Source organism: Homo sapiens, chromosome 9, assembly GCF_000001405.40.
Source record: "Homo sapiens chromosome 9, GRCh38.p14 Primary Assembly".
NCBI lineage: Eukaryota > Metazoa > Chordata > Mammalia > Primates > Hominidae > Homo > Homo sapiens.
Genome location: NC_000009.12, coordinates 36,773,621 through 36,800,213, shown reverse-complemented (window position 1 = coordinate 36,800,213; position 26,593 = coordinate 36,773,621). Strand labels below are relative to the sequence as shown.

Here is a 26,593-nt window from a genome sequence, read left to right as displayed (position 1 = left end):
AGGTCCTTGCAAGGGCCTCTGGTGGCAGGCAAGGAAGTCTTCCCCGTTTGAGCAGAAGGGGAACCAGACCCAAACAGGAAGATCACACAGCAGAACTGGGACCAGGCTTTCTGATACCCAGCCCAGTGCTTATCCCCCTGCCCCATGATGCATCCTCTTTAATGACTACCAAAATCATGGAGACCCATCAACCCTAGGCCCTGGTTTGCAAGTAGCTTTAGTTTTGAGTTAACAGTTAGGAGCATATGATTGATTAGCAATGTCTGCCATGAGCGAAGGCCAGAGTGACATCAGAGGTGAAGTATATTTATGGACCCCTCCCCAGACCCTAACCAATACGCCTTTTTCCTCTTCAAAACAAAACAGTTTTGAAATTGCCTCTCCTTCTTCCTGTCTCCAGCTCAATATAATTTTCTGACCTAATGGCCAGAACTTGGGAAATTTCACCTTAATGCTACCTGGAAAGGAAGGGTTTGATAAACAATTTAACATTGACTTCAAGATTGCAAGGGGAGTGTTTAATTTGCTCAAGAGACCCACTGTCCTCAAGGACTCCAGTCCATTAGCTTTTGTCCAACTAATGACAAGTGAGTTTTCTATATTCATTAAAGCAGACTTGGGATTTGGCTTGAGGGGCAGTGAACTGGAGAGGAAATAGCACTGGACTCAGGAGGAATGTTCTTGATTACTTGCCGTACGTTTTGAAAAAGAATAAAATGGGGTTTTCTAAAATCCTTTAAAGTCAGGCTTTTTCTGATATGGGCAGGTGAACCTTCCAGTGGAAACCAGGGGTCCACAGAAAGGAAGTTTGCAGGTCAGCTCAAACCAGCTCAACTAGCTCAGGTCACCCACCAGCTACTTTCCAGTGCTCTCCCAACAGGCTGGGCTGGAGGAGACAGAGATTTGAGAGATCAAGCCTTGCCTTGGAGCACTCACAATCTAAGGGGGGAAACTGAGGCAAAAACACCATCCTGCAGGTGAGGGCAGGGAGCAGCCCTTGCTGGTCCCCCAAGGCCCCGCCTCTCCTGCCCCGCCTCGCAGAATTCAATGGATCTCAGCACGACAAATATTCATCAGGATCCTGGTCAGTGCCAGAAGTGTTGAAAAAAGGCAAAAGTTCTCACCGTGCTGCCTCTGCCCTGTTCTCTGCACCTTTGCTTGCTTCAGCCACCCCATGAGAGATGGAGTTGGGGTTATTTCCTGACCTGCTCAGAACAACTCCCCAAATGCCTACAGAATGCCTAGAGAATGCCAGGAGGTTTCTGAAGCTGCTGCTGGCATAAAGAAGATCGTTGTGTAAATTATGAAAGAGCCCTTGAATTGTCAGGGTTTGGAAGGACACAGATGGCTCACTCAGAAGGGGTGATTGGAGAGTTTACCGAAGACATTATTTATGAAGGTGTGGTCATGGCTAAGAAAAACTAGCAAAAGGTGGTGAAATACCCTAGCAACAGAGGGGAGCTGTTACCGCCCTTAGACCCAAAGGGACCACAGAAGAAAGCAGTTATGAAATCCCACTAGGGCTGCAGCTGGGGAGATTTTGACAGACAAGCACAGCCACTGCCAAGCCAACAGGGAGGGAAAAAAGGAATAAATACTCAAGCCTCTCTCCACCACCTCCTGCCTCCTGCCGGTGCTTCCCCTTGGCTTCTCTGCCCAAGAACAGAGATCCCATAGACACTGGCCTTCCAGGGCACAGAGCAACAGGGAGAAGGGTGAGAGCAGGTGTGGGGGTAGAGATGGCCAGCCCCAGTTCCTCCAGATATTTGCTGCCATCTGCCGGAATGTCATGATAAACATTCCATTCTACAATATGATGTAGATGGCGGCCCAATGTTGGCCTGTACAATCATTGGTGGTAATGCTGCTGTAGTCAGGACTGACCCCAACCTCACTCTTGCTCACCCCTGTCCAGCTCATACTCTGGCTCTTCCAAACACCCTGAACAGAAGTCCTACCCTTCCTTCCCTATTTTCACGTACGCCAGTCTAGAAAGTCCAGGGCAAATACCACCTCCTCCCTGAAGCCTGCCTGATGATTCATGAGGGGGCCTCTCTTCTCTCTCTGTCTGTCTCTCTCTCTCTCTCACACACACACACACACCCCTGGCTCCTCTTTGGGAGTAGAAAGCGGGCTCGTTCATTCCGGAATTGACCCTTGAGTCCCCTCTGTCCGTAAGGAAAGCGTCCACGAAGCCGTTCACCATTGTGTGCCTCTGTCTGTGCCTCCTCCACAGGCACAGGGGTGCGTGCAGGGAGCCCCACCAACAGTGAGCCCGACAGGCGGGATGTGAACCCTGGCTCCACCTCCAACTAGCCTTTGGTTTGGGGCAAGTCACTTTACCTTTCTGAGCCTCAGTTTTCCCATCCCACCCATGGGAATGATAATCCCTACCTTGGGGCTGTTGTGAGAATTCCGTAAGATCCTCTGTGTGGCACTCACTAGATGATAGGGTCCCTTCTCTTCCCCCAGTAGAATGGGAGTCCTCAAAGTCACCGAGGGCACATCGTGTCTGTCCTGACCCAGCCTCGGCTCTCAGGATGGCCTGCGACTCGGAGTGGGCTGGTAGAGTGTGCCAGTTAGAAGGGCAACCTCTGGGTAGCCCCTGGGCAGTAACTTGGGCAAATTACTCGGCCTCTCATGCTGTGTTTCCTCATCTTTAAACCAAATAAGAGAAACAGCAGTGGTGTTCCTAGCTAATACCCATGCAGAGATTACTGGGCCTTTGGCACCATTTTGAGTACCTGAAGTACATGAACTCATTCTATCCCTAAACCACACCAGCAGGTGATATGGTGGCTTTTTCCTGTTCACCAAACATTTCCAGTTGTCTTTCAGGCACCTAGTAGGGTTGCATTTCCCCACTACCTTCAAGTTTGATGCGGTCGTGTGACTTGCCTTAGCCAATAAAATGTGAGCAGCAGCGTCATCTGTCACTTCCTGGTGGAGCTTCCTCCAGAGCTTTGGGAATCAGCAGACCCCAGCAAATGCCAATCCTTCCCTTGGCTCTTCTCGTCTGTCTGGCCATTGACCATGACTCACTAGCAAGTGCTCCCAGCTGCGTGTGAACTGGCAGCCCTGGGTTTTCTTTCCTCCTGGGTTAAACTTCTGGCTATCAGTGGGTGAGTGTCTGTTACCTCCAGCTCACTTGCACCTGGCACCTTAGGAGTCAGGGCATGGCTTGCCTCTCTCTCCCTCTGTCACAGTGACTGGCAGTGTTCCACATAATGGTTGTTCTGTCAGTCTGGGCCCCAGGCTGACAATGACAATAGCACAGGCCAATGTCCTTGGCTGATACAAGAAGGACAAACAATGTGACTGAGACAACTTCAGGCCACTGACATCTAGGAGGTGCTCATTACCACAGCACAACATGGCTCATTCTGACTGAGACCAATGGGGCCTCAAATTTATTATCCCTGTTTCATGGTGAGGAAAGTGTAGTATCTATATCATGGATATGATTGATGTTACCACAGTGTTGGTCCATGTAAGCTGGAACATAATTAGCCCTTAATAAATGTTAGCTATGTAAATATCTATACCCCAGATCGCTACAGACATAGGCATAGATGTAAACATGGACATGACTCTGGGCCTGAAGACCTTTCCACCTTTCCAGAGGATGGCTTAGGGCAGCCCAGGCCCTCACAGCCTGGAAGGAAGGCCAAGGTCTCCTCAAGCTCTTTGTGATTCAGCTTGGCACATTTCTGCTGCTTCACCACAGGCCAGAGCTTGGGAATCAGCAGACCCCAGCAAATGCCAACCCTTTCCTTGGTTCTTCTCATCTGTTTGGCCATTGACCATGACTCACTAGCAAGTGCTCCCAACTGTGTGTGAACTGGCAGCCCTGGGTTTTCTTTCCTCCTGGGTTAGACTTCTGGCTATCAGTGGGTGAGTGTCTGTTACCTCCAGCTCACCTGCACCTGGCATAGTCTGGAAGAACTGGAGACTGTGACAGCCAAAGGGGCAGGCACCCCTGGGCATCTCCCAAGCCCATGGTCTCTGATGCAGGCTCAAGTCACCTGCATCATGTCCTAATCATTCATAATTGACAAGGGGTGACATTTCTGAGCATTACATTTGGATCATGGTTCCCAGTTTACAATGAAACATTTTCCTTTTTATATACTCAGTACTCACTGGGCTCTGGGCACTATACTAGGCTGAGATTTCGGACTCCACCAACTCACAGTTTTAGTGACAACACTACCAATAATGATAGCTAACTTTCAGAATGTTGCCAGGCCTATGCTGAGCAATCTACGTGCATTACCCTAGTTTATTCTCCCAAGAAGTGTATGAGATATGGGATAGGAGTTACCACCATTTTACAGATGAAAAACTGAGGCACAGAAGGATTGTAACAGGGCCAAAGACAGCTGGAAAGTGGTGGAGCCAGGATTCAAACCCAGGCTGATCTGACTCCAGAGCCCTAGTTTCCCAATAGTAGTGACTGTAAATGGCTGAGGTGGAGAGAAGGAAGCTGGATCTTACTCCTTACAGCAGCCTTGTGACGTAGATTTTTTTGTCCTCATGTTGCAGATGGAGTTACAGAGATAATAGAAATTTGTACAGTCACACAGCAAGCAAGTGGAGAACAGGAGTCTTTCTCAAGCATGCATGTCCCTAAATCTCCTCTGTACAGGAAGTCACCAGCCATCAAACACAGGTTGTAATGCAGAACATCATAGACCAATAACACATTTAATAGGGATGCAGAGAGAGGAGCAGAAAGGACGGAGAAACTAACTCTGGGGTAATCAAGGAAGACTTCCCAATGGAGGTGGCATCTGAGTAAGGAGAGGAAAGAAGAGAATCCAGAAGGAAGGCATAAAGACTCTGTGGTATCGTACTGGGGGCCCAACACCTGATGGTGAAGGTAGTGTCAAGTCAGCACTGCCTGCACCTCTTCAAGGCTGCCATTCTAAGCGCCCCCTTGCTAAATATCTCCTTTCCTTCTGCCTGGATACTCAGACCACTCCAACAGGAGGGGAAGTCTTGGCCACTCATATTCCCCATTCCCAGACCATTTGGAGAATGGCCAGGCTGGGGTAGCGGGGGTGGTGGTAGCCTGCAAGATCTCATAAGACACACCTGTAGGCATACGGACAAATTTTCCAACCACATTCAATTTCCCCACCTGTCTTCTTGCTATTGTAATTCCAGCTCCATATATTTTATACCCACCTGCCCCATCTGGAAGGAAATTGGGCAGGAGTAAGAAGGGAATAAAATAATAGGAACTTTTTAGTCTGGAGCAGTCATTAAATGCTCTCTTTGCCCATCAGACTGGTATTTAAATGGAGGAGGGGTCCGGGGTGGGCAGAGGGCATTGTTAACAACTGCCTCAGTGTGGCAGCAGGAGACAGGAATAATAGACTTGGAGAATGTTTTCCAGATTGTGCTGAAGTGATGGAAAACAATGGGTCCCCAAATGGAAGTAATGGTGCATAGAACCCCTCCATGGGTCCTGCAGACAGCAGCAGAAACTCTGCCTTGCTCCCTTTCTAACAGGACTGAATTAATTCAGGGACCGTGTGAGCCTTGTACTCCCATTTCGATTACAGACAGACCTAGTTTTTGCAGAACTCATTAACTAGCAGGTCTTTGGGGACCCGGGCTTCCAAGCCTTGCTGGACAGGCCCCAGGAGCCGGCTTCTGAGGAATCCAGGAGCCCAGATGTGGGCAAAGCCTGTGCAAAGGGGCAGGCCTCAGAGGGCAGCATCGGCTGTTCTGAGTCTGAGGGAGGTCAGTGTGTGGAGGAGGCAGGAGGGGCCTGAACAGGTGACTTCTCGCAGCCACATCAAGCCAGGGCAATGGAGGGACTTGGTGACAGGGTAGTCAAACATTGATGACTGGGGTTCTGAATTTCCTGTGAAAGGTCATTCTCCAGTAGCAACTTAGCTCATCAGCCCAAGGCCAAGAGGGCACTGAAATCCGAAAGGGAGACCCGTGGATGTGTTCGAATGCCACTGGCCTCAAAGTTCAGCTCCAAGGCCCCCTCCTTTAAAAAGCCTTCTGTGACACCCCTGCTGGCCAGGATCCCCCCTCTCCTCTGTTTCTGTCCCCTTCCCAAGGTAGCACGCCCTTTACACTGTGCAGGGGGCGTTCCCAGCTATTTCATGTCTCCCTGCTGAGCCGTAGGTTCCCATAGGCAGGCTTCTTGCACACTTTGCATTCCCAGCTTCAGCAGGCTCCATGTTTACTTGCTGAACACCTGAATGGATAAATGAATGAAAAGTGGCTGTAGGAAAAAAAAAAGTCAAAAGGATACAATATTTCACACAAATCTTCCCAACAGCCTCATACTGGGAGGCAAGTGGAGATACCCCAGCTGAGTGGCGGTACATGTCCACATTCTAGACAGGGCTCCAGAACCATGTAGGGGCAGGCTCTTCCTGGGAGCAGCAGAGCACAACAGTTAACCCAGACTCTGCAGCCTGGCTGTTTAGATTATTTCCCAACTCGGAACTTAACAGTTCTGTGGCTTTAGCCAAGTCATCTGTCCAAATATACCCTTAGTTGCCCCATCTGTAAAATAAGGATGATAAAATAGTTACCTCTTAGGGTGTTATTTGTAAAGTGCTTAAAGCGGTGCTTAGCACAACATAATGAGTCAATATCCCCCTCCTCTTGGACCCACTCAAAGTCTGCTGCTTTTCTGTGTCTCATCCTCCCCATCCCTGCCACAGACACCTGGCCTCTCTCCCCTCGGAAACCAAGCTGCTCTGGGTCAATGGGGGCCCCTGGTGGCCAAGTTGTGGAACTGTCCTACCATTGTTTCTTCACCACCTCTGTCCTTATTTAATCCCATAGAAGAATACTGAATATACCAAGTACCCCTTCTCCTTGCCTCTTACTGTTCACAACTCAGTGTATGCTCCCCAAGTGGCACTTCATTCATAGACACACAACCTCTCTAGCTTGTGTCCAGCTACCTTCCAATAAACTTCCTCCTTTGTCTCTGTTATTTTTCCTCCTCCCACCCTACCCCATTTTGTTACACCTGAGAGGCTGAAGTCTGTTTGGGCTGATAAGCGTACTAGTAACGCTATGCTGCACTGTTCACAAGTCCACAAGTGGCTATTTACATTTAAATTTCAATTCCCTAACATTTAGATAAATTCACTAAAATTAAATAAAATTAAAAATTCAGTTCCTCTGTTGTATTACCCGTATTTCAAATGCTGAATAGCCACATGTAGTTAGTGGTGACACAGTGCAGATATAAAACAGTGTTATCATTTCAGGGAGTTCTATTGGACAACACTGCTCTACATTCCTCTAAATAAGAGAGAAATGCAATTTTCAGCTTCTAAAAGGAAAACACATAATAAAGAACCAGTTATTTCCTTATCTCTATATATATGTTCAATACAGATACATACATGCCTGTGTGTGTGTGTGTGTGTGTGTGTGTATGTGTGTGTGTGTGTGTGTGTGTGTGTGTGTGTGTGGAGAGAGAGAGAGAGAGAGTTTTCATGCATTATAACCGCTAACCCCTTTTGAAAGTATTTGGAAGCCCTTGGAACTTCATAAAGGTGTCTGACTATCACCTCTCATCTAATTCAACCTGCTTTTTCTAGAGCATCAATATTCAAGATAAACAACAACAAACTCTTCCTCCCTCCCTCCCTTCATTCCTTCATTCCTTCGTTCCTTCCTTCCCCTTTGTTCCTTTGTTCGTTCCTTCCTTCCTTCCTTCTTTCCTTCTTTCTTTTTTGAGACAGAGTCTTGCTCTGTTGCCCAGGCTGGAGTGTAGAGGTGCAATCACAGCTCATTGCTGCCTCAATCTACCAGGCTCAAGTGATTTTCCCACCTCAGCCTCCTGAGTAGCTTAGACTACAGGCATGCACCACCATGCCTAATTTCATTTTTATTTTTAGTAGATATGGCTATGTTGCCCAGGCTGTTCTCAAACTCCTGAGCTCAAGCGATCCTCCTGCCTCGGCCTCCCAAAGTGTTGGGATTACAGGTGTGAGCCACCCATGCCTAGCCAACAGCCTATTTCTTATACAGCTTTGTAGACTTAGAATTTTGTTTCCTCACTGGTAATGTAGCTACTATGTTAGTTCAGTTGTAATCCAGCCACTGAATAGCTGTGTGATTTTGTATACATTCCTTACTCTCCTGGAACTGCCATCAAAGGGATGATTGCAGGGGATTACTGAGTCCCCTTTTAGCTCTAAGAAAAGTTTTGCTTCTAGAGTTGTTTTTCATCTCATGAATGTAAAGAAGCTTATATTACATGGCCATTAGGGTCCACAAAGTATTGGTTACATAGCCTTTGTGGGCTGGTGTGGGAACCAACTGACCATTTCACATCTATTTCTATAGGAACACGCACTCTGAGGTCCAAACACTGGCCATGTCTCCGTTGGGGCAGTCAGCACCTAGAGCTCAGTGCTCTAAGCCCAGGAACCTGTGGCAGCTGATGATGATGACTAAAGGCTTGGCCTGGAGGCCAGGGAGGGGGCAGTGAGCAATGCCTACTGTCATTCCTTCTTCCAATACAGACACAAAATATGCTTTTAAGATTGCCTGATTAGCACTAGAGAGAAAAGGTGCCAGGTAGACTTTGTTAGACAAAGACAAGTGTTCCTGCATTTATTCAGCTGTTCATGGTGTGTTAATGTTAATCCCATTGACAACGGCAGGAATAGGCCTAGGCTGCTGTGCCCTTCCTCTGTGTAATCAAGTACTTCAAGGCAGATAGCGTGGGTGTCCACACTATATGTGACAGCCCAGGAGTCAGACGCCCTTCCTCCTGGAGAAGCAGATCATTTTCGCTCCGCCCTTTCTTGGAAAAACAGCTTGGAAGGGGATCGCTTTACAGTGTGTGGGGGCCTGACACACCCCTGCTCCCAGCTGATTGGGTCAGAGGCAGAATCTGCCTAAGCTGACCCCATCAGACTGTCTCCTCTGAAAATCTGGAATCAGGGCACTCCGACACTGGCCAATGAGCCACAGGGAATGGCATAGGAAGGCCTTGGAAGTTTGAGGGCTGAAGCTACCATTTTGTGGAGGCCTTGATAGGCCTTGTGCAAGCAGATGATAAGCAGCAAAGCCAGATCTGAGAGCAGTAGAATGAAATGGGAGCTCAGACAGAAGCAAAATGAGAAACCAGGCATCCAGTAATGGATAGTGGCAATGTGGAAAGGGGAGATGGCCAAGGTCCAGTTCCTGAGAGGCCCATCTGTACCTTTGGTGACTGGGTGCCACAGGAGCCCCCAGTGCCTTCATAGCTCCTCCCCCTTTTTTTAAACCTGAGCTCCCAGTGGGCTTCTTGCCTTGAAATGATTCCCGCCCAGGCTCTCAGAGTCTCAAAACAGAGCTATGATAAAATGAATGGATTTTGCTTGTCTTTGCCTTTCTGCTTCCAGGGTTAATTTTTGTTTTTGTTGTTATTTTTTGTTTTGAGATGGAGTCTAACTCTGTTGCCCAGACTGGAGTGCAGTGGCGTGATCTGGGCTCACTGCAACCTCCACCTCCCAGGTTCAAACAATTCTCTTGGCTCAGCCTCCCGAATAGCTAGGATCACAGGCACCTGCCACCATGCCTGGCTAATTTTTGTATTTTTAGTAGAGATAAGGTTTTGCCATGTTGGCCAGGCTGGACTTGAACTACTGACCTCAAGAGATCTACCTGCCTCGACCTTCCAAAGTGCTGGGATTACAGGCATGAGGCACCACGACCGGCCAGGTTAATTTTTTTAAACTCTGTTTGATCATGGCCTGAGGTCCCCAAAGGAGGAAACTAGATGTGTAGAGAAAGACTCAAGGGTGGGTTAGCAAGCATTTTGGGGTACCTCTCGTGTGCCAGGCCTAAGTAAAGGACAGAGGGGTACCCTTCCCCTTCCATTTCCAAATCTTAGCCTGGCTCCAGGGCTCTGCTCAGCACCGCTGCTTCCTTAAGACCTTCCCAGATCTACACACACATGCACACACACCCCAGCCAGAGCAAGGCTTGCTGTCTCCCAACTCCCAGGGGATAGTCTCGGCACCTCCATTTGGCCATTCCTACTTTCTGCCTTGTGTGACAGTTCTGTGCATCTGGTCCTGTCCCTTACTAGCATGTGAGGTCCTTGGGGACAGAAGCTGGCTTCTGCTCACCTAACCAGTTTGGCTGGATTGCCTGATGTTTAGACCATATGGTTTTGACGAATGTAGCCTCATAGGTGTTCACACAAAGCCATGGCATCAAAACCAAGTCTCCAGAATGCTCTGGAGTATGACTGGGCGCAACTTCCTGTTTTTGTAAAGGAGGACACTGAGGCTGAGGGAAGTCACTGAGAGATGCACCTTGACTTTCTGCATTCCTGATACAGCTAATCTCACTTCTCTGAGAAGTCATCTCAGACGCTCTCCGTTGACATAAACATCTCCCACCTCCCAGCCTAGCTCTGTGAGATGTTATTCCATGTAATGATGGCCAAGGGAGGCATTCCAGATAAAGAATTAAGAAGAAGCCCCAGTTCTTCACTAGTGAAACTGGTGGGTTCCCCTAGTTTGACAGATCTGCTCACTGAAATGATTGATGGGACATAAGCACTGTTTGTGGCTTTTTGGACCTTTAATGTAGGGAATGCAAGCATTTGTCCCTATGCACTTTCTCATGTCATTAAACAGCTAAGGGGCAGTTCAACATGACCTCCAAAAGGATGGGTTCTTGGCCAGCTCCTTAAGCTCATGCTTTTCTAATTAAGAACATTACACATGGCTGGGCACAGTGGCTCACGCCTGTAATCCCAGCACTTTGGGAGGCCGAGGCGGGCAGAACACCTAAGGTCAGGAGTTCGAGACTAGCCTGACCAATATGGAGAAACCCTGTCTCTACTAAAAATACAAAATTAGCTGGGCATGGTGGGGCATGCCTGTAATCCCAGCTACTCGGGAGGCTGAGGCAAGAGAATTGCTTGAACTTGGGAGGCAGAGGTTGCGGTGGGCCGAGATTGCACCATTACACTTCTGCCTGGGCAACAAGAACAAAACTCTACCTAAAAAAAAAAAAATACACACAATTATCAAATATTCATCACCAAATATAAAAAACCATCATAATAAGGACCAGATTAACTTCTGATACCTATGGCATAGCTTACATGTAAACTAAACCAACAGCACAAAAACACTAAATATTGATTAAATTTTGGTTCTGTCTTCTGGATCAGGGATGATAAATAGGTTTCCTCTCAATTGCCAGTGGTCATTGTTTGGTGGCAGTTACTTACAGCCTGTGTTAAGAAGGATCCTGAGGGAGGTCCAGAGTAAGGTGCTGATGGATGACTTGGATTTCACAGAGTAGAAATTGGGACATTGAGAAAGGTCATTTTAGCAAAGGGGCTGGGCAAACGCTCAGCCACATGGCCCATCCATGGAGACATCCCCATCAAGCACCCTGGGAGCACTTGGTTCCTGACCCAAAAAAAGACGACAAGCCTGAGGGTTGGGGTGCAGTCCCACGAACAGCCGCTGGGAAATTTGAGTGAGAGCACGCCTGGAGGGCAGTGGTGGCCCACTGTAGTTCCCTGTCAGCTATGATGGCAGGGAACCCTGAGGAGAGTCAGCTGCAATGCAATTCTGCAAGGTCACTGTGACCCCCTCCTGCCAGGGGCTCCCTCTTCTCACCCAGGAGGGACAAGACTGTGCCTGCTTCATCAAGAAACTCAATGTTCATTAAGGCTGTGATTCCCAGCCTTGCAGGCAGTGCCAAAGTGGTATTCTCTTAAGCCCTTCACACATCTGTCTATCCATCCTAGAGACTGTCTAGATCCCCAGACCAGAGAAAGCCCAGAGACATGGCACTGCAGCCCAGACCCCAGGAGGCTTGCACAACAGGGCTTAGATCTTGCCTTTGGCCTGTAGCCCCGTTCATTCCCCTTCTCCTCATCTCCCACCACTCCCTCACCTGCAGGGGGACGTTTGACTCCAGCATTTGAATAAAATAAAAACTGACAGTGTGGAGCCATGTTCAGGGCTGAGCTACAAAGGATTCATGCAATTATCTCTGTCAGAATTCATTTTGTCAATGCCCCTCTCCTTTTCAGGTTGCACACTACTAATATCTTTGGGAAGTTTGAGGAGACTGAGAATAAAGTGAGGGAAATGCCAGCAACCTCTCCAGGGGGAAGTGGCTCCCAAGTGGAACAAACTCCAGAGTGGCACAAGAGGGGACAAAGGCAGTGTGAAGGGAGAGCAGCGATGAGAGAAAAGCCCTCGGGGAGAAGAGCCACAGAAAGTCCCTGAGTCACAGTGGGGAAGGACCTTAGAGGCATCTGCTCAACCCCTGCCCTGATGTCAAACCCCACACTCAGTCCCACAATTCAAGGACAGGGGCCCATCAGAGTTCAGACCACTTCAGCTCTCGGGGGGTGTGGGCAGCCCCTACAATGTTCCTTCAGAGTCTGGCCTAAGACTCCCTAGAGAGACCACAGATCCAGGCCTAGAACAGCCCAGGAAAGGGCAGCCCCATGTATGAGTCAGCCACACACAGGTTATCCCAACCATTGCCCCATATCCTTCCCACATGTGAGCGCAAGTGCACACACACACACACACCCTCCACCAATGGAGAATCTAGATGCTAACTACTCCTAAACCAGTGCATCCAGCTCGTACTTCTGCCCTGCACTCCAAGTGTCCAAGTCAATGGGCCATGCCTCCTTGAATGGCTAATGGGCATCCCAAACTTAGCACCTGATCTTCTCCCCAACCTCCTCTACACCTAGGCTTCCTCATCCCAGCTAACCACAATTCTGTCCTTTGAGTTGCTCCCACTAAAATCCTCAGAATCATTCTTACTTCCTTTATTTCAACCAAACCCCACATCAGATCTGTCAGCAAGTCCCATCAGCTCTGCGTTTTTCAAGGTAAGTCCAAAGTCTGACCTCTTCTCACACCTCCCCTGCCTCCACCCTGGTCCAGCCCCCACCCTCTCTCATCTGCATCGTGTGCCACTGGCTCACAGCAGCCTGGGTGAGCCTGTGAAAGTATCAGTCCAGTTATGCCACTCTTCTCAAGACCCCCAGTGTCTTCCCATGTCACTCAGTGTAGCAACAGGGCCCTCATATTGGTCTACAAGGCTATGCTGGATGCCATGACATACCCCTTAGACTCCTCTTCATGGATATAGAATTTATCCCCCCAGATGTTGGGAGTGGCACCAACCACCAGCCCACAGCCATCATCTCCTCAGGCACTGCCTCAACTAAAAGTCACGCCCCCTCTTCCAGGCAGCCTGCACCCAGTGCCTGATTAACACAGGAGTATAAGACCTGGCCATCTCACCCCAACTTAGGATGCCTGTAGAAAGTGAGCCTGTCTTCAGACCTCCATGCAGGGTTGGCTGAGGCCTCCCTTGAGACTGCATCACAGCTCAGCTTCCTCCTCTGCCTTGTCTGTTTTCCTTCCTTCTCCTTTCCTTTTTCTTTCCTTTGCCCCTTCCCTTTCCTTCCTTTCCCTTCCTTAGGTGTTGATCCCAAAAGAACTCCCTAATAAACCTTCTGCCCACTAATCTTCATCTCAGAGTCTACTTCCTGCTCCAGCCACACTGGCCTCCTTGCTGTTCCTTAGCGTGACAGGCATGCTGCGCCTCAGGGCCTTTGCCTGTGTTCCCCCTCTGCCTGGGAGCTCTCCCCACATGTCTTCACATGGCTCACTCCTCATCTCTTTCATGTCTTTACTCAGGTATCAACTTCTCAGGGAGGCCTTCCTTGGCCATCCCATCTACAACTGCAATAGCCCTAACACTTCTATCCCCTTCCCTATTTAGTTTTCTTCTTAGCCATCACCATCAGATGCATATACTGTGCTTTGTTCATTGTCTCCCCTAGTAGAGTGTAAGCTCCATGAGGGCAGGAATCTTTGTCTTTTGTTCAATGTGGTGTCCCCAATAACTAGAATAGTGTGTGACACATAATAGGTGCTCATTAGATATATGTCGAATAAATGAATTAGATTCAATGTTGTGAAATCCATCCTTTCAGTTATCCACCCACCCATCGATCCATCTCTCCATTCTTCAAGCAGGTACTGAGCATCCTCTGTGGACATACCAGGCAGGTATTGCGGGAAACTCACACACACACACACACACACACACACACACACACACACACAAACCCCCAAGTCTCTCTGTTAATGGTTTCATGGTCCAGGAAGAACAGGAACAGTACGAGGCTGAAAGGACTCAGAGGAGAAGAAGATCCTGCCACCTGGGAAATGAACCATGGGAGCCTTCCTAAAAGAGAACATGGGAGGACAGGGAGAATTTAGAGAGGGGGACATGGAGGGAGGACACTCAAGCCAAGGGAAGGATAGGATCAAAGGTGTGGATTTAAGTGTGTTGCGGGAGGACAGCTCAAAGGGCACAGAGCTTTGGAAAACACTGGGAGGGACTCCTGGGATGGTTAGTGAGGACAGCAGATGAAGACATCAAACCTTTTATCTTTATCAGACAAATGGGGAACCCATAAACGTATCCATGCAAAGGACTGATATGGTTACAAATACTCTAGTTTACAGGCAGACAGGGCAGTCATCGAAGATGGCAGAGAAGGAACATCAGAAGTTGGGCTGCAGGGTCCAGAGAGCTGGCTCCAGTCCAGTGTCATCACCAACTGTGCAGGTGATATTTGGTGATACCAAACCACATTTCCTCCTTTTTGGCCCACTGGTACCTGTCATAGACCCCCAGAGTCACTGAGCTGCAGGGACCTCAGAGGTCATCTAGTCCAGGTTTCTGAACACCAGGCTGGGAAATCAATTTACTGAGCTGTGAGTGTTTTTAAAATGAAATAGAAGAGAAAGGACTATGTCAGAGTACATCACTTATAGTAAAGGTAAAATTGCTTTGCGAAACTTTTGTTTCAGTTGTGTGTGTGTGTGTGTGTGTGTGTGTGTGTGTTGGTTTACAATATAAATCCATGTCTGTGGGTCACGGTAATAAATATTTGAAAGCCATTGATTTAGTCCACTCCTTTTCCACTGTGTGAATTGCCTTTACAACATTCTCAGTAAACTACATGGCCACTCTTGCCTGCCTCCAGGAAGAGGATGTGGACCACCTCCCAAGGCACAAGCCCTCTCTTTGTTGGCTGCTCTGTGCCTAAGAAGTATCTCCTCACACTGAGCTCAAATCTGCCTGTTGTCCTTCTTCCCCTTGGTCTTCTCTAGCTCTCTGAATATCTCCCCCAATAAATTCAATCCCATTTCAGATGACTGCATTAACAGAATTGAAGACAACCCTGCAGGACTCGTGACCGTGTTTTCAAGGCTTCGGGGCTCATCTATTTCTATTGCCTGCCAGCAATCCTTTCTCCAGGAAGCAAGACCTGAGTTTTCATTCCAGGCAACCTCCTCAACTCCATTCACAATCAACATGACTTGAGTGGGACTGACCCCAGTACCTGCTCCAGGGTTGGCCAATGGGAGCACCATGGACACAGGGACAGGCTCCAGAGTGGACACATGATCCAAGCTGAGCCAACAAAAGACAGTCGGGGGCTTTCACTGAAACTATTAGAAAAAACGGTAGGCTGCTAAGATGGTAGACTATAATAAGCCCAGAACTGCAATGAACGTCTTTACCAAAGCCTAGGGCAAATCTGCTATTAAATGAAGCCAACGAAGAGAAAAGTAAAGAAAGAGGACAAAGAAAAAGAGAAAGAGAGGAAGAGATGCTGAGGTCCCAATCCTCAGTACCTGGAAATTGGGTCTTTATAGACATAATCAAGTTAAAATGAGGTCATTAGAATAATCCCTAATCCAATATGACTGCCTTCCTTATAAAACAGAGAAACTTGGACACAGAGACAGACACAGGAAGATTGGGTGGAGACACAAGGAAAATACCATGTAAAGACAGAGGATTGCATGCTGCACCTGTACGTCAAGCATGCCAAAGAATTCCGGCAAACCACCAGAAGCCAGGAGGAGGCAAGCATGGATCTCTACAGATTCCAGAGGGAGCGTGGCCCTGCCAGCACCTTGATTTCAGACTTCCAGCTCCAGAACTGTATGAGACAATACATTCTGTTGTTCTAAGCCCCTAGTTCATGGCACTTTGTTATGGAGGCCTAGGAAACACATCCAGTTGCTTACACTCACTTTGTACCTACTGTGTGCATCACACTGATCTAAGAACGTTACAAATAGTCACTCACCTAATAGTCACAGTAGCCCTAGAAGGTAGTGCTACTTTTATCCTCGTTTTCTAAGTGAGGAAACTGAGGCACAAAGATGTGAAGTCACTTGCCCAAGGTCACAGAGTTCATAAGAGGTGGGGCCAGGCTCCAAGTCCAGGCAGTGATGACTACTAGAAAATATTGTCTCTCAAGAGACTGGGGTGTCCTGATGGTGCTGGTAAAGCCCTAGAACCCACAGGTGCAATGTCAGCGATGGAGTCAATAGATATTCATTTTTCCTTCCATTTTGGGGGTTCAGGGGTTTTATTTTGGTTTTGGTTTTTTATTTTTTTGAGACAGGCTATCATTCTTTCACTCAGGCTAGAGTGCAGTGGCGTGACCATGGCCCTGCATCCTCCACTTCCCAGACTCAAGTGATCCTCCAGCCTCGGCCTCCCAAGTAGCTGGGACCACAGGCACCCACCATCACACCTGGCTAATTTTTGTATTTTTTGTACAGATTGGGTCTCACTGTGTTGCACAGGTGGGTCTCAAACTCCTGACCTCAAGTGATCCACCCACCTTGGCCTCCCAAAGTGCTGGGATTACAGGTGTGAGCCACCGTGCCCCGCCAGGTTATTGCTTAAATTCTTTTGATTTGGTTTTCCGTCTCTAACCACCCCACCCCACCCCATGGGCATCCCAGCTCTGTGGACCTTGCCGTACAGCATATGTCTCGGGCGCTTCGTCATTCCACCCTCTCCACACCTCCCCTGGGTGCACTACCATTTGAGGATGTCCTTTATTTCTTGCCTTGTAACAGAGTTTCTTAAAAATGACACACGGGCTCTCTGGATGGTCCTCAGGGATCCAAAAGCAGAGAATGGCTGGAAAGGGCAGCAGGGAGCCTGAAGGGAGTTTCTTGAAAAATTCATCAGAGAAAATCTTTCTCCCAAGTTTGAAGCAGAGAGAATTAAAGGAAAGAGGAATGACAACAAACACATGAGAAGTTCATGAGTGACCTTAGGGAACTGGGCATCAACCAAGGCTTGGGGGTTGACTGGGAGAGATGGAAGGAGGAAAGAGGACGAGGAGGAGACCTTGTCAATGTCTTCCTCCACGACATGCTCTCCAGGCCCTGTCAACCATTTCTCTCCAAGCATCTCTCCAATTCGGCCCTTTATCTCCTGTAAGAAATCTCAGGGCTGACCAAGTCCCACAAAAAGACAGTTCTAGCGCTCTAAGGGGAGGGAGATTTCCTGATGAGTAGAATTTTTCAGTCTGGAGCACCATGATTTTGTGCGAGAACACAAAATCACATTATGTAAAACCCAGAGGGCTGCAGAAAAGACACAGGGAACTTGCCATCAGCTCCCAACCCCCATGCTCTGGAGGCAGCTGGTAGCAGGTGAGAGACAAAGTTTCAGGCCAAAAGATAAAAGTGCGATTAATAAATAGTGGGTGGTAAATGTTTATAATTCAGGATCTCATACTGTCAGAATGCAACATGTTGAAGGAGGACTTGGAGAATGTCAGAGGCCTCTGATGGGAGGCAGTTTGGTGACACGTGCTGGCCTTAGTGTTGATGAGAGACAGGGTGAATGCGTGACAAAGAAGGAAGAGGCAGGAGGCTGGGAAGGAAGACAGAAAACAGAAGCAATGGGATGATGGGAAGAGAGGACAGGAGAGAAAACAGAAAGTGGAAGAGAAAGATAAGACATGGAGGAGCTGGGACGGAACAGCTCCCAGAGCAGTGGGGGAGGGTGGGACTGCCCACCACGTATGAGGGCAGAGATGCCCAGATCAAAGAGGGGGCCCATCCGGCTGCATCATGGGGCATATAATGGGAGGCCTTGGGCCTGTATGAATAGCAGAGGGGGCTAGGAGTCCGACAGATGCCATTAAGAAGCGACTTGATAACCCTCATTAAACAGAACTTCACAAATGGCTTAATTTGAATTTCCAATACTTGATAGATTTCAAACCCAGAACAATTACTTCTGATGTAAAGGATCAATTCACGGTTTCCTGAACTGAATCCTAAGGAAATGGAAACACTTCCAACAGGGTTGCTCAGATTAAAACTCCTTCAAATGCCAAATAGACACTGACTTATCTCTTTTTAAACAACTTTTTTTGTAAGGCAAAGGTTAGCATTGTAAGGAAAGGCAGGATGAAAATTAAACTCACGTACTATGACCTCCTCGGGCTGGGTTTGAATTACATTTCCACATGGCCTGTGAAGATCTTTCATGTCTCTCGCTCCATTAGTTGGTGTACTTAGCAAAGGTCGGGTAACGAACAGGCATACTTTTCTAGCCCAGAACAAGATCCTGGCACACAGCCTTTTCCTGCCTTCCCTGGTGTGTTGGAGGTCACCGGTGTGGGCGTGAGTCATCTCTGCATGCTCCACATCCTGAAGGTGCCTGCAGATGATGGACGTTAACTACCATTGTCGCCACAGTTCCGGGATGGCACAGGTCTCACATGCTTCCCCAGTGCTCTGGGGGCCAGAGAGAATTTAGTGGAAATCCTCAAGTGTGTCTGTTTGAATTTTCCGCAGGGGAAATTCATGTGTGCTTTTCAGGGAACGGCTTCATTTCAAGCAACTCTGCCAGCTGAAGTCAAAAGAGGGAGGAGGAAGCAGAGGAAGACAAAGAGAAGAAATGGCGAGAGAAGTCAGTGGAATAAGAAAGCTTCCCATCCCCAGACACTCAGAGCTTTCTGTCTGCTGGTCTCAACCGTGGTTCACATTCATGTGGGTCTCTGAGCTTCATGGTCCACTTTGCCCCATTTCTTTGCCTTCAGAGTAGGATCTGAATTCACCCCTTTCATAAGATGGCATTAGCCGAAAAGATGGGCAGAGCTTGTGTTGGGTAATAACAACATGTGCTCTTATTCTTCTCCAGCAATGGAACCTCCCTGTTCTGGGGACATAGACAGATGAACTAGGTCTGGCCTTGCCCCCAGGGAACTTAAAACTGAGGAAAGCAGATGTGTAAGTCATTGGCTGGCACCCACGGGCACTGGGGATTCCGGCCATGCCTCCCCCTCCACCCACCACCTGAAAGAACACAGCCCAGGTTTCCTGCGGGCAGAGAAGAATGTTCAACCTGTTTATGGAAGGGAATTCAACTTCTTCTCTGTCCTGCTTTTCCTCCCTCTGCCTCTTCTATCTTAGAAGTCACTCAGCCATCTGTTGGGTTATGCTTCCTCCGGTCTCTTTCCCCAGTAGTTTGGAAGATACACATTCTATTCCTGGTTGTTTAGTGCTGACTCTTTGAACATTTAAACACATCCTGAATGTTACACTTTTCAACGACTGAAGGGAATGGGAATCTTTCCTATCATGCTCCTTTCATTCCCCACACCCCAAACTTCTTTACCTAGGAGGGTCACCAGTTTTCAAACGTACACAAAAGGCTGCTGGCTTTTTTTAGCTGATGCTTGTGTGAAGGAGTAAGGAACGTATGGGTGAGAACCAAGAAGACTGCAGGGGGAAAAGCAAGGGGGAGGTTACTGAGCCCAAGGACAGGAAATGGATTGTGGCTGGAGGACTGTGGGGGAGCAATCGGAAGAACCCAGGCACAGTCTAAATGTCCAGGCCGACCAGCCACCCAATCTTCAGGTCTCCTGCTCTCTGAGCCCTGGCCACCAGCGCCCCAGTGACTGAGTGAGGAGGAGCTGTCTTCGGGGCACCTCCCCACTGTGCCAGAGGGGCCCCCGCATGCAGTGAGGGGGGGCTCCGTGCTGTTCTTTGGGATGAAAGCCAGCACACCAGGACAGCCAGGGCTGGGATCGTGGGGGTGACATCAAAGATCCCCAGCTCTCTCCTCTCCATCCCCTGCCTCTCCTTTTTACTGGGCTAAGAATCTGCCAATGACAAGCCCTCCTACGGGAAAGAGAAACTGTGAGATGGGTTGTGAAATCAGACAACATTCAGAACCAGAGCCCGCAGCCGTGGCAGATCCTCACCTCCCAAAGAGCCATTCGGAGGATCTACCCAAGGCTCCCCCCACCTTGCCAGCCTGTCTACTTATAATTGTTATTTTTCTGGAACTAGCTATCAAAATGGATATAGAATATTCCTCATTCCGTACCCAGGACCTAGAGTGACCTTTTGAAAATGTAAATTGGATCATATCCCTTCCCTGTATAAAGTCCTTTGACTGCTTCCCTTCTCCCTTAAAATAAAATCCAAAGTCCTTACCGTGCCCTGCAGGGCTCTGTGTGGCCTGGCCGCTGTCTGCTTCTCTCACCGGATGATGTGCTGTTCCTGCCTTGCTCATCACACTCCAGCCCTGCACGGCAGCTTCTCCGTTCCTTGGAACTGCTGGTCTGGTTCCAGCTCACGCCCTCTGCACAAGAAGGTCCCTCCACTGAGAACACTGTCTCTCTTCTTCTCTTGTCCTAGCTCGCTCCTTCTCATCCATCAAATCTCAACCTCAATGTCACCCCCTCGGAGAAGACTTCTCCAACCCCCCTATTGAAATTAAGCACCACCACCCTATATATTTTCTTTACACGGCACCGTCTTCCTTTGCAGCACTTGCCTCAATGCGTGATTACTTCTCCATGCGCATGGCTTCCTTGTTTATTGTCACTCTTGTCCCACCAGGCTGCAAGTTCCACTGAAAAAGGCCCTGTCTTCTTCACTACTGTTTCTCCAGCACCTAGAACAAGGCCCTGTACATAAAGGCTACTCAGTCATTATTTGTTAAGGGAATGAATGAATTTATTAAATAAACATTTAGTGAGCATTTCAAGGTTGTGGTGAAGATCAAGTGAGATAAACGATTATCACCATAAGCAGCCTCATTACTATTTGTACCTGCAATAAACTTGCAGACAATCGCATGGGCCAACCACCAGCCCATTTTGGGTTACTTCCAGCACAATCCGAACAATAGCAACCATGGAAAAGGTCAAGGTTCCGCCACACTATGCACAACAAGAAGCATGTACACTCTGATCATCTGGATTAATCTCCGGACTTAGGTTTGATCTATTTCTGTCAAGCAAGCAAATATATATTGATATTTGCAAAGAGCCTCATGCATGTGGTGCCCACTAAAATATGGCTGCATTTTCCATAGTAATTGTCTCTAGAAGCTCATTCCCAGCTGCACTGGCTCATTTAGCTAATCTGCAGTAAGTACGGTATTGATCCAAGCAGCAAGAGAGGAGCACATTAACCTGGCCCAAGGAAGGGTGATTAGTTTGGCTGCACGGTCACTTCACAGAATTGGCTGAGATCTAAAAGCCACACTGAAATAGTCTGGAAGTCAGCCCCCTATCCTCACCTCCCCACCTCCCCTCCTGAGCAACACACACATTCGCACAGGCAGGGGATCTGAGCTGGTCACAAGGAGAGTGGCAGTGTGACAGCAGCACCACAAGGAGACATTATCCCTCCCAGGAAAGGCTCTTGTCATTCATTCCTTCATTCATTCATAAGAGACGATATGTTACAAATGTGATAATACCCAGTGCTCACTAAGATGAATCAATATTGATATTCTCATATGCTGCTTATGGAAATGGAAATGAGTAAAATTATTTGAAAAGCCAATTTAGCAGAATGTATCAAAATGTTTATATGATTCGACCCCGTAATTCTACTTCTCTGAATATATTCTTAGTAAATAGTCAGGGATGTGCAGTATTGCTTATAATAATTATAAATGTCCAAAATTAGGGACTGGTTAACTGACTAACCTACTGTATATTTTTTCAGAGAATATTCTTTAGTCATTGAAAAGTATTTGTGATTTATCATATGGGGAAGGGGCCAGGGGACAATCAGCTTTCAAAACAGTGTGGATAATTTGTAGATCATTATCCCAAAATGTTTAAAACTAAATTTGCAGCTGGGCGTGGTGGTGCACATCTGTAGTCCTAGAGTAGTAGTACTCCAGAGGCTGAGGTGGGAGGATTGCTTGGGCCCAAGAGATTGAGGCTGCAGTGAGCCATGATCAAGCCACTGCACTCCAGCCTGGGTGACAGAGCAAGACCCTGTCTCAAGGAAAACAAACAAACTAAATTTGCTAATATCCATAGAAAAACTACTGGGTTGTTGATTAAGAAAATGTGGCACATGGCCGGGCGTGGTGGCTCACGCCTGTAATCCCAGCACTTTGGGAGGCCGAGGCGGGTGGATCATGAGGTCAGGAGATCGAGACCATCCTGGCTAACAAGGTGAAACCCCGTCTCTACTAAAAATACAAAAAATTAGCCGGGCGCAGTGGCGGGCACCTGTAGTCCCAGCTACTCGGGAGGCTGAGGCAGGAGAATGGCGTGAACCCGGGAAGCGGAGCTTGCAGTGAGCCGAGATTGCGCCACTGCAGTCCGCAGCCCGGCCTGGGCGACAGAGCGAGACTCCGTCTCAAAAAAAAAAAAAAAGAAAATGTGGCACATATACACCATGGAATACTATGCAGCCATAAAAAATGATGAGTTCATGTCCTTTGTAGGGACATGGATGAAATTGGAAATCATCATTCTCAGTAAACTATTGCAAGAACAAAAAAACCAAACACCGCATATTCTCACTCATAGGTGGGAATTGAACAATGAGAACACATGGACACAGGAAGGGGAACATCACACTCTGGGGACTGTTGTCGGGTGGGGGGAGGAGGGAGGGAGAGCATTGGGAGATATACCTAATGCTAGATGATGAGTTAGTGGGTGCAGCACACCCGCATGTCACATGTATACATATGTAACTAACCTACACATTGTGCACATGTACCCTAAAACTTAAAGTATAATAATAAAAAAAAAAGAAAAGAAAAACTACTGGGTTGATAAAAGAAAAGGTGGATGCACCAGAGAATGTTATATTATTCTCCATTCTGTCTGTGTTTGAAATATTTCACAATATTAAAAATGAAAAGAAAGATTGAAAAGATATATATCAAAATATTGACAGTGGATGTAGGATTTCAGGCTATCTTTAATTTTTCTCTGAGAGATTGTCTCAATTTTCCAGATTTTCTAATGTGAACTTGTATTCTTTTTAGGATCCAGAAAGAGAAAAAATAAAAATTCCTCTGCAACAAAGCAACATGGACACATAGTATCCCGTTGGTGAGCACCTGCCAAGCACAGGGCCTGGGAAGCAGTCATGAAAGAGCCATGGGCGGGTGAGAACAGGCATTCCAGGCAGGAAGAACAGCTTGGATAAAGGCTGGAAGGTGGGAAAAGTGTTGTATGAACAAGTTGGTAAATCCTTGTTTGGCTGTCAGGATCCATGAAAGGTGTGGTGGGAGATCAGACTAGATGGGTTGGGAACACCCAGAAATCAGACAATTGGGAGCCATTAAAGAGGGCTGGGGAGGAACAACGGGAGTGTCGTGTCAGGAGGCTCTCTGTGTTGGCATGGTCCTGCAGGCGGGAGTAGCGGATGGTTGGGTGGGCTACGCTACAGCCATGGTACTCAGTGGAGAGGCTGGAATGCGGTCAGGTGCGAGAGATGTGGGCTGAGCCAGGGCAGTGGCAGCAGGGCACCCAGGAAACATCAACAGACTATTCCCTGCCTGTTTCCCAAGACCTGGCACAGGCTCTCTGGAGTGATGGGAAGAGCTCAGGCTGAGGCGCCAGACTGCCTGGGTTTGATCCTGGCTTCACCACTCACTAGCTGTGTGACCATGGGCAAATTACATAACCTCTCTGTGCCTCGGCGTTTTCATCTGCACAGTGGGGATACTGTTGTGAGGATCCAGTGAGTTAATGCACATGAAGCATCTGGCCCAGGGCCCAGTACAGAGTAACAGCCCCGTTAGCCAGCGTTGTTCCCTCTGACCCGAAGTCCACTCAAAGTGCCCTGAGAAGATCATGTTGCCTGCAGGACCACCCGTATCTGCAAGGGGCACAAGCCCAGGCACACAGTGTGGGCTCTGTCTTTCTGATCCTCTGCAAACAGTTATGAAAGAGTTAAAATGTTAACAAAGTCAAGATCAAGGAGAGACTGGAAGGATCTTGTAGAAAGGTCCAGTGGCCCAGCCTCCAGTCTCAGCTTTGCCATTAACTCCCTGAATCAGAATCGGAAGTCAGGCTGATGATCATTGTCCTGGGACGGAATCTCAACGCCCCTGGCTGATGGTAGTGCGTCTGGGCATGGCCTCCTCTTCTGGGTCCAGGGCCACTTTTATGACTCCACCACCAGCCTGGGTCCAGTAAGTGAATGGGTGTGGCTTCTCTCGTCTAAAGGGACCTTTCACAGCAGCTGTCCTGGGCCAAGATCCATCTACTCATAAGGAAATAAACAAAAACTCTAGTTACTCATCATATACACCTTGCACCCACCAGTTCCTAACGCGAAGTGCAAGTGGCTTCTTTAAAAATTAAAGGGTTGAAGGCAGAGCTGCCTTTGGTCTAAGTGGGCAGGAGAGGTTGGTGGGAGCAGGCAGTCCCCAGTGGCCCCATCTCCTCTCCTGTTTCCAGATCCACAGAAGTGATAAACAGGCTCATTACAAGGCAAAGGATATGCACAATCAATCCACACCTTTAGGGCTGGGCTACAATTTAAGGAGAGGAGATGAGAGGATAAATAAAAAGGCCTATTTTCAAGAGAGCCATTTAAGCCCAGAGAGAGGCCATAATAATGTGCACACCAGCTCTGCTTAATTCATCCCTGGCTCTCTCAAAATTGCCCGGAGATAATCAAAAGGAAGTGAAGAGGAACAACACAGCCTCCAATTCAGAAAAGGCTGTAGTAATCAGAACCCGAGGCCTGGACCCCGCTGTCAGGCAGCGCAGTTGGTCACCATGGGGCCTCCCGCTGTCTTCCAGAGGCAGAAGACACTTCCGTTCTTCCTGTCTCACCCTTAAGTCGGAAAGCATGGAATTGACACATCCACGATTGTATTTCTAGAATCATCTCTCAAAGAGATAAATGACTTCCTCCAGCCAGCGTTGTCTGACCTGGGTCTGGGAATAGATAAATTCATTTTACTCAGGAGCTGGAGCTCCATTTTTCTCCTGGTGCCATCTATAATCCCATCTCTTTCAATGTTTGAGGCACTCAGTATGATGAATGTGCCCTAGGCATAGGGTGAAAGGTGAAACCTCACTGGGAAGATGGAGCAGCTGATCTTCCGGCCAACCCCTTGTGACAACCTGCTTTCAGGGCATGTTGGGTTCAAGAAGATACCATCTCATGCCAGTTAGAATGGTGATGATTAAAAAGTCAGGAAACAACAGATTCTGGAGAGGATATGGAGAAATAGGAATGCTTTTAAATTGTTGGTGGGAGTGTAAATTAGTTCAACCATTGTGGAAGACAGTGTGGTGATTCCTCAAGGATGTAGAACTAGAAATACCATTTGACCCAGCAATCCCGTTACTGGATATATATCCAAAGGATTATAAATCATTCTACTATAAAGACACATACACATGTATGTTTATTGCAGCACTATTCACAATAGCAAAGACTTGGAACCAACCCAAATGTCCATCAGTAATCGACTGGATAAAGAAAATGTGGCACATATACACCATGGAATACTATGCAGCCATAAAAAAGGATGAGTTCATGTCCTTTACAGGGACATAGATGAAGCTGGAAACCATCATTCTCAGCAAACTATCATAAGAACAGAAAACCAAACACTGCATGTTCTCACTCATAAGTGGGAGTTGAACAATGAGAACATATGGACATAGGGTGGAGAACATCACATACTGGGGCCTGGTGGGGGGTGGGGGGACTAGTGGAGGGATAGCATTAGGAGATATACCTAATGTGGGTGACCAGTTGATGGGTGCAGCAAACCACCATGGCATGTGTATACCTATGTAACAAAACTGCACGTTCTGCACATGAACCCCAGGACTTAAAGTATAATAATAATAAAAAAGAAGCCACTACACAGATGGGTCCCCTTGAAGGACCCGTATTTTGTTCCAAGCAGGAATTCCTTCCTCTTCCTGCCAGGCTTCTCTTTACCTGGCTGTGGACAAGTTGAAGCCTGCCTCAAAGAATGGTAGGGCCCCTTCCACATCTCCAGCAGCAGATGAAGTCTGGCTGGAATCAGAGGAAGACAGAACAAGCAACCTGACCCTCACCAGACAGTCCAAACCCTCAGCTTCTGCAAAGCTACAGGGGCCTAGAGAAAGATTCTCTATTGATAGTAATTCTTCTGGGGGATTTTCACATAACAAGGCCACAAAAGTGACCCTCTTCTTTCTCCTTATTGCCCTTCCAGGCTGGTGAATTGGGGTCACCCAAACCCCACAAGCTTCACTTTCCTCATTCATAAGGAAGGGATCTTAATTCCGACCCTGCAAGGATTCAGAGGACTAAGAATATACACTGGTAAGATGTAAGGGCCATCACTATTCTGTCCTAACCAAGTCAAATCATAGCAGAGCACCTGATTCAGTGCGTCTCCGTCAAAGTTACCCATGAGCATCATCAGGAAGTAGCTAGACAGATGATTGATAGATAGGCAGACAGAT

General features: G+C 47.9%; 1 long non-coding RNA gene across 2 annotated transcripts in view, besides 1 other annotated feature; it reads right to left on the bottom strand.

Annotated features, from left to right (window-relative positions):
- LOC105376030 (uncharacterized) overlaps positions 1–20,739 on the bottom strand; it is a 50,778-nt gene extending 30,039 nt beyond the window's left edge. Inside the window, exons 1-3 of one of the 2 annotated variants that reach the window (XR_929588.4) lie at positions 20,337–20,739; positions 18,321–18,744; positions 4,689–6,220 (exon numbers count right to left, since the gene is read on the bottom strand). This is a non-coding gene — a long non-coding RNA (uncharacterized LOC105376030). Of the gene's footprint in view, positions 1–4,688; positions 6,221–18,320; positions 18,745–20,336 lie in introns of those variants that run through there. The other variant, XR_001746662.3, reaches the window with a different exon arrangement.
- Positions 1,681–1,880: a silencer, noted in NCBI's record as "silent region_19898". NCBI's record gives its function as "represses an Ori minimal core promoter by ATAC-STARR-seq in GM12878 lymphoblastoid cells {active_cell/tissue: GM12878}" and the evidence as "EXISTENCE:reporter gene assay evidence [ECO:0000049][PMID:35858748]".
- Positions 20,740–26,593: the final 5,854 nt, after the last annotated feature.